Source organism: Homo sapiens, chromosome 3 (genome assembly GCF_000001405.40).
Source record: "Homo sapiens chromosome 3, GRCh38.p14 Primary Assembly".
In the NCBI taxonomy this organism is placed as follows: Eukaryota; Metazoa; Chordata; class Mammalia; order Primates; family Hominidae; genus Homo; species Homo sapiens.
The window spans coordinates 116,512,842-116,521,232 of record NC_000003.12 but is presented as its reverse complement, the minus strand read 5'-3'; the positions used below and the strand labels follow the sequence as shown (position 1 = coordinate 116,521,232).

The following is an 8,391-nucleotide window of genomic DNA, read 5'->3' as shown; positions in this document are numbered from 1 at the left end:
TTTATGAAAAGAAGAGAAAGGTCATGAAAAGGAGATTCGTGGAATAAACATTCAGACTTTAACATGGCTTGTATGTTAAAGTAATTATTGGCTACTTTTGCAGAGGGAGAGAGAAAATTCCATAATATGTAATTGAACCCATAAAATGGCTTTGTTATTCCTGAAAATGTTTAAAAACATTGTTCCCTTTCTACAATAGTCAAACTTTCACTCATGGCCCATGAAAGCATCCTTAGAAATGTGAGGAGTTTGTCTGTTCGCTCTGATGATAGTTTCTTTTGTTTTTTTTTTCTGAGGTGGAGTCTCGCTCTGTCACCCAGGCTGGAGTGCAGTGGCATGATCTTGGCTCACTGCAAGCTCCACCTCCCGGGTTCACACCATTCTCCTGCCTCAGCCTCCCGAGTAGCTGGGGCTACAGGCGCCCGCCAGCACGCCTGGCTGATTTTTTTTTTTTCTTTTTTTGTATTTTTAGTAGAGACGGGGTTTCACCATGTTAGCCACGGTGGTCTCGATCTCCTGACCTCGTGATCTCCCCGCCTCGGCCTCCCAAAGTGCTGGGATTACAGGCGTGAGCCACTGATCCCGGATGCTCTGATGATAGTTTCTATTGCTGTGCCCTTTAGTTTAATTAGATCCCATTTGTCAATTTTAGCTTTTGTTGCAATTGCTTTTGGTGATCTCATCATAAAATCTTTGCACATGCTTATGTCCTGAATGGTATTGCTTAGGTTTTCTTCTAGGGTTTCTATGGTTTTGAGTTTTACATTTAAGTCTTTAATCTATCCTGAGTTAATTTTTATATAAGGTAGAAAAGGGTCCAGTTGCAGTTTTCTGCATATGGCTAGCCAGTTTTCCCAGCACCATTTATTAAATAGGGAATTCTCTCCCCATTGCTTGTTTTTGTTGAAGATCAGATGGTTGTAGATGTGTGGTGTAATTTTGGAAGAAAATTTTTGCAGTCTACCCACCTGACAAAGGTCTAATATGCAGAAATTACAAGGAACTTAAACAAATTTACAAGAAAAAAACAACCCCATGGAGAAGTGGGCAAAGGATATGGACACTTCTCAAAAGAAGACATTTATGCAGTCAATAAACATATGAAAAAAAAGCTAATCATCACTGATCATTAGAGAAATGCAAATCAAAACCACAGTGAGATACCATCTCACGCCAGTCAGAATGATGATTCTTTTTTATTATTTTTTTTATTTTTTTTCATTTAAGCTTTCATTTTATTTTTTTATTTTTATTTTTTTTTAAATTTGTTTAGTATTTATTGATCATTCTTGGGTGTTTCTCGGAGAGGGGGATTTGGCAGGGTCATAGGACAATAGTGGAGGGAAGGTCAGCAGATAAACATGTGAACAAAGGTCTCTGGTTTTCCTAGGCAGAGGACCCTGCCGCCTTCCGCAGTGTTTGTGTCCCTGGGTACTTGAGATTAGGGAGTGGTGATGACTCTTAAGGAGTATGCTGCCTTCAAGCATCTGTTTAACAAAGCACATGTTGCACCGCCCTTAATCCATTTAACCCTTAGTGGACACAGCACATGTTTCAGAGAGTACGGGGTTGGGGGTAAGGTTATAGATTAACAGCATCCCAAGGCAGAAGAATTTTTCTTAGTACAGAACAAAATGGAGTCTCCTATGTCTACTTCTTTCTACACAGACACAGTAGCAATCTGATCTCTCTTTCTTTTCCCCACATTTCCCCCTTTTCTATTCGACAAAACCGCCATCATCATCATGGCCCGTTCTCAATGAACTGTTGGGTACACCTCCCAGATGGGGTGGCAGCCGGGCAGAGGGGCTCCTCACTTCCCAGACAGGGTGGTGGGGCAGAGGCGCCCCCCACCTCCCAGACGGGGCGGCTGCCGGGCGGAGGGGCTCCTCACTTCTCAGACGGGGCGGCTGGTCAGAGACGCTCCTCACCTCCCAGACGGGGTAGCGGCGGGGCAGAGACACTCCTCAGTTCCCAGACAGGGTCCCGGCCGGGCAGAGGCGCTCCCCACATCCCAGACGATGGGCGGCCGGGCAGAGACGCTCCTCACTTCCTAGACGGGATGACGGCCGGGAAGAGGCGCTCCTCACTTCCCAGACTGGGCGGCCAGGCAGAGGGGCTCCCCACATCCCAGACGATGGGCGGCCAGGCAGAGACGCTCCTCACTTCCTAGACGGGGTGGCGGCAGGGCAGAGGCTGCAATCTCGGCACTTTGGGAGGCCAAGGCAGGCGGCTGGGAGGTGGAGGTTGTAGCGAGCTGAGATCACGCCACTGCACTCCAGTCTGGGCAACATTGAGCACTGAGTGAGCGAGACTCCGTCTGCAATCCCGGCACCTCGGGAGGCCAAGGCTGGCAGATCACTCGCGGTCAGGAGCTGGAGACCAGCCCCGCCAACACGGCAAAACCCCGTCTCCACCAAAAAATACGAAAACCAGTCAGGCGTGGCGGTGCGCGCCTGCAATCCCAGGCACTCGGCAGGCTGAGGCAGGAGAATCAGGCAGGGAGGTTGCAGTGAGCCGAGATGGCCGCAGTACAGTCCAGCCTAGGCTGGGCATCAGAGGGAGACTGTGCAGAGGGAGAGGGAGAGGGAGGGGGAGGGGGAGGGGGAGAGGGAGACAGAATGATGATTCTTAAAAGTCAAGAAACAGCAGATGCTGGCAAGATTGTGGAGAAATAAGAAGGCTTTTACATTGTTGGTGTGAATGTAAATTAGTTCAACCATTGTGGAAGACAGTGTGGTGATTCCTCCAGGATCCAGAACCAGAAATACCATTTGACCCAGCAATCCCATTACTGGGTATATACCCGAAGGAATATAAATTATTCTATTATAAAGATACATGCACATGTATGTTTATTGCAGCACTATTCACAATAGCAAAGATGTGGAACCAACCCAAATGCCCATCAATGATAGACTGGATAAAGAAAATATGATACATACACACCATGGAATACTATGCAGCCACAAAAAGGAATGAGATCACGTCCTTTGCAGGGACATAGATGAAAGCTGGAAGCCATCATCCTCAGCAAACTAACATAGGAACAGAAAACCAAACACCGCATGTTCTCACTTCATAAGTGAGAGCTGAACAATGATAACACATGGAGACAGGGAGGAGAAAACACACACGGGGCTTGTTGGTGGGGGTTGGGGGCGAGAGCAGGGTGGGCATCAGGACAAATATGTAGTGCATGCAGGGCTTAAAACCTAGGTGACTGGTTGATAGGTGCAGCAAACCACCATGGCACATGTATACCTATATAACAAACCTGCAGGTTCTGCACATGTATCCCAGAACTTAAAGTAAATAAATAAATTAATTAATTAAAAAATAAGAAATATGACAAGTTTTATTTTTGATTTGTCATTTCTAACCCAGAAGTTGATAGTCCTTTGTTCTGTTCTTTCAAGGGTCACTTTCATTTTCTATAAAATATTATATTATTATCTCAATATTACATTTCCATTCCATACCTATGTTAACAGGACATAAGGTGCCAACACACCTTTTATGCAAATGACATAAAAAGGTACAGAGTGTTTGGTTTGTTTTTATTTTCAAATATTGACTCACATGCTCCCTGCTTCAAATAGTAAGCACATGCAGATGCGTGAAAAGTATTGTTCTTTAACCTTAGCATCCTGACTCCAGCAGCTATCTTCCTTCTTTCAGGAGGTACAGGCCAATGGTATCTCTTTCTGTTTAACAATAAGTGACCTCAAGGTGGCAGTCTTTCAGAATACAGTATTGCTCTTACATTTTGGCACCTGTATTTTGAAGATTTGGTGACTATTTAGTAATATTAAGAAATCAACACAAATATTTTCTCTTGTAGTCCTTTTGGACATCACATTGAATTTCACAGAAGTTCTTACCATGCAGATATTTTAGCACCAACTTTTTAGTACTATTCATGGTTCATTAATTGGATTCAAGATTTTGTAGCCAAGTCCCCTCGTCCCTTTTCTTGCTCATAACTAATGTTTCTTTATGTTCAATGTGTTTTAAAGTCCTATTTTTTTTGTTCCATTGCCTACAAAATAAATCTTAGATAGCTTACCCAAAGAATATACAATAGTGGATGGTTGTTAAAAGCACAGTTTTGGAGGACAGACACATATGTTGGCTGCATATCTTAGAAAGAGCAACAGTGAATTTTCAACCAAATCTGTACCTCTGTCAAGTTAGCTGACCTATTCAGTTCCTTCCTTAATAGCACCAACCCACTGGTTTATTGGTTACATTTAATGAGACTGTCATTGTGAAACACTGAGTACAGGGCCTGGTAGCTGCTGTATGCTCAATACCTCATAACTATACTTATTAATCACAGCCAGCATCATACTCCAAAAGCATGCTCCTCACAGCCCTTCGGTACTACCTAAAATATCCTCTTCACAGTAATTTTAGGATTGAGGTACTGACTGTAGCCAGAAAGGCATTTAACAGGAAAACAACATCACCCACTTAGTGTGGTCTGATTTGTTAAATTAGCTGATTTTACCTCCACTTCATACATAACCACAACAAATCAGAAAGGATAGACTGATAAAAAGATGAAGTTGAAAGACATAGAAAGTCTAGAACTTGAAGTGAGGATTCATGTGTGTGAGAACGGGACTTGGGAGCAGTACAGCAATTAAATCCTGGAAGCCCAGCAAGACCAGGGTGCCTGGAGTGCGGATTTATATGTTTCTTCCTATTTTCTACTCCCTCTATGTCTCCTGAAATCCAAAGAATATTGTCTTATTCAAAATATTCTCATACGAAACATAGGAGATCTGATGTTTCTAAATTATAGTAAAATTTACTCAGTGTATCATCAACAATAATCACTTTGAATTTTAATAAAACATACGAACATATATTATTATGTTAACTTTGTTAGCGTTTTTATGTTATAGTTGACAAAATAAAGCTTAGAGAATTGCCTTCTAAGTTCCCAGGAATAAGTAGTATACTTTGGACAACATAGGCCCTAAAATAAGAAAGACTTAAATCTAATTCTGGCTCAGCCACATGCTTGCAATACAACCCAGTGATATTGAAACTGAGTCTCAGCAGCCTCTTAACTGTGAAAAGTTGACAGCATAGTTTTTCCCTTGCAGGGTTTTTATGAAACCACATCTATGAAAATCCAAGTTTGTATGTGAAAAGATGTAGCACAGTGCATGACATGTTATGCCTATTTAATTATGCCAATTTTTGTCTGCATGATGTTATGTTCCATACTCTTCTTGATTATTCCATGGAAAGATGGACCATTATTGAATCCTTTGTACTTCCAGGTTGAGAAAAGAGTTGACACTCTTATATCCTCATCTAGATCCTGGACTGTCTTCCTACTTCTTTTGTCATGCATCCATCTACTCCCTTACTTACTCATTCATTCATTATTTTGACATTTACTGAAGTGCATTACATTCTGCTTTCTTTAGCTTTTTCTTTTTTCAGTCAAAATATTTGGCACTTTAAAAAAGTGGTTATGAGTATGAGAAGATTCTGATTCCCGAAGTCCTGGGACTTCCGATCACTACCACAATATTTGACTGCTACTACACATTTTCTATATTAAATATGGCCCTTCTTGGAAATACTGGAAGAAATAGACAAGCCATCAATGGAAATTTTTTACTTTCTACGCTTATTAAGAAAGATAATCCTTTTGAGAAGGTATGTAATAGAGAGGGCATGTTACACTGCAATAGCAGACATCCAGTTTTCAGTAGTTTAATATTATAGCCATTTATCCATGCCTGAGTAGGCACTCAGATCAGCAGAAAAATTCTACCCCAAGTGTTCATTAAGGGATGCCAGTTTCTTCTATCTTGTTCCATCATGTTATAGAGCCATTTGATAATAATCTCCAGCCAGAGAAAGAATTAAAAGCAATTATGGAGGATATATACCACCCTTTAGAATAGCTTTGGTCTGGGAGCTATACACTCATATAGGCTCATACCCATTGTCAAGACATAGTCATACAGACACACTTCATTAGTTATAAGGGGAGGTGTTGAGCCGGAAACCTACTTCTGGAGGAGAAAGCATAACAGGGTGCAGTGGGCAGTGAGAGATCTCTGCCACAGTGTATTGAAGAGAAACTATTTCAATTGTATGTTTGTTTATTCTAAAACACTAACTTGCTATTCTATTGATACGTTGACTGGTATCATTTGCTAAAGAATCCCTCAAGGAATAGTAATTTAAATTCTGCCTCTTCCCATATGCAAAACACATTATTTGGCAGTGTGGGTGGCATTAGTTGTAGAGGGGGGGTAATCCTTCTTGGTCTAATTTTAAATAACAGACCAAATTTAGTGCTGCACCAGCAAAGTATTCAATTAAAATCACATTATTAAAATAAAAATTAAAGTTCTGTTGCTGAACTGCTTGGCTGAATGCACCAATTAAAAGTTTTCTTATCTTCCTGACCCCCTCTCCAATGTATTTGGGAAAAAGAAAAGGCATAAACACAAATGCACACACAACTTTCTGACTAAATAAACTGGGGTTGAAGATAAACTTTGTTCCTCAAATACTGTAATTGTACAATTACCTGTGGTGTTTAAGACATGTGTAATGTGACGAATAAAATAAAAAACACACAATGCAAATACTTTACTAAAATGAGTATAGTGTCTAGTTTCTCGTACTTAAAAACTAGTTTTTACAACTATATTTAACCTTACTTTTCTTCCTTTCTCTTCTTGTCTTCTTAGGATAATTAGAGAAGTCACCAGAAATAGTTGGAAATGGTGGGGGCTGGGAAGTCAGGGTAACACTGTGGAAAATCCTTAATTTAGACTGTGGCCTGTAATTTTAAATTCAGTTTTTGTTCTCCTTCAAGTAGCCAATAGACCAGGAAAGATATCATTCTAGAACCCAGATGTGTTAAGCAAGTTTTGGACCCTAGATATGCTGGATAGGTCTTCTATACCCTCTCTTGCTACTATAGAATATCTTCCAAACACATGTCATTTTTCCTTACTTTTCAAAATGTTTTTCACTCTTTGTTTGTAAGACATTTCTTGTCCAGAGTCCCTTGATGTCACTTAAATGTAAAAGTGCTCTAACAGTCCCCTTTTGCCCCTTGAGAGCCCTACTACAGTGGGTATGCTTTAGCATTCATCCACCTCCAGGCAATTTCTTTCTTGTCAAGATCTCTTTGTGGATATAAGCAATACAGGGTCCTGTGAAGCAACATGTTCTCCAGCTTGATGCAACTGCCATTTTCCTTCTTCCTTTAGCCATTTGATTTTTCAGGCAGTTAGTTTTTCTATTCTAATGGAAAAATCTGCAAGCTTATTTGTAAAGCTTTGAATTCATTTGAACATTGATTGTACCTTCACTATTTTTCCAACACTCTGTGTGGCACTGAAAATACACAGATCACAGCAACTACTGTCCGGTTGGAAAGTGGCTTTCATATTTTTGTGCATTTGCACATCTGATTATGTTTTGTAAACTACACTAAAGTCAAAATCTCTCTTGTTTTAAAAGAATTCATCCTCCAAAAACATTATGGACAGAATGCTAATAATTGTTTGAAGTGTTTTTAAAATGTCAGAAGTAGAGTTATCACTAATCTCAATTTTAAAATTGATCCCTTTGATATCTCTGTGTGATGGGGCAACAAGAAGTGAGAAGGTATATATTTAAAATGTACGAAAATTCCAGAAACTGACATCTCTCAGTATTGGCCTTTTGCCACATCGGGTTTTAGGAAAAAAGCAGGAAATGTTGTCTGGAAAGATCCAAAAATATTATTTATAAACATAGATGAATTCACATCTTGTATACATACCAAACACGTACACACCTGAATATGAGGACACCTGCATACAAAGACACAGGACACATTCACACACTCCAAGTAAAAAGTAAGTGGGGGAAATAAAACTAAGTGGAGGAAGAGACTGTAAGTGTAGTCTTGAGGCCATATTCTGAAGCTGCTTTATTTTTCCAACATTTTGAAATTGTGCAGAGACCTCCTGGATAGTGGTTTTAATCAAGACCACATCCTGAAGAACATAGTCCCTCATTCTAGGAAATGTATGCATTTGTTGCAGAAGCATGGCAAGATTGAGAGCCATGAAGACGTGCTTAAGATTATGACTTGAAATGCCTGCAGGACAAATTAATTGAGAGAAAGAGTTCCTTGTCTCCAGAAACTCTATCCGTGGATAATTCTTCATCTTAATCAAATTACCTTAAATGAATGCCCTTTATTCTGTCTTCTCAGTGAAATTTAAAAAGAAAAACTTCATACAAGATTTTTAAATTTATTTATTATTATTATTTTGAGACAGAGTCTCACTTTGTTGCCCAGGCTGGAGTGCAATGGTGTGATCTCCTCTCACTGCAACCTCTGCCTCCCAG

General features: G+C 40.2%; 1 annotated feature.

The window, feature by feature from the left end:
* Positions 1,153-1,654: an enhancer, noted in NCBI's record as "NANOG hESC enhancer chr3:116238426-116238927 (GRCh37/hg19 assembly coordinates)". NCBI's record gives its function as "activates a minimal SCP1, AML or CMV promoter by ChIP-STARR-seq in naive H9 embryonic stem cells {active_cell/tissue: H9 hESC(naive)}" and the evidence as "EXISTENCE:reporter gene assay evidence [ECO:0000049][PMID:30033119]".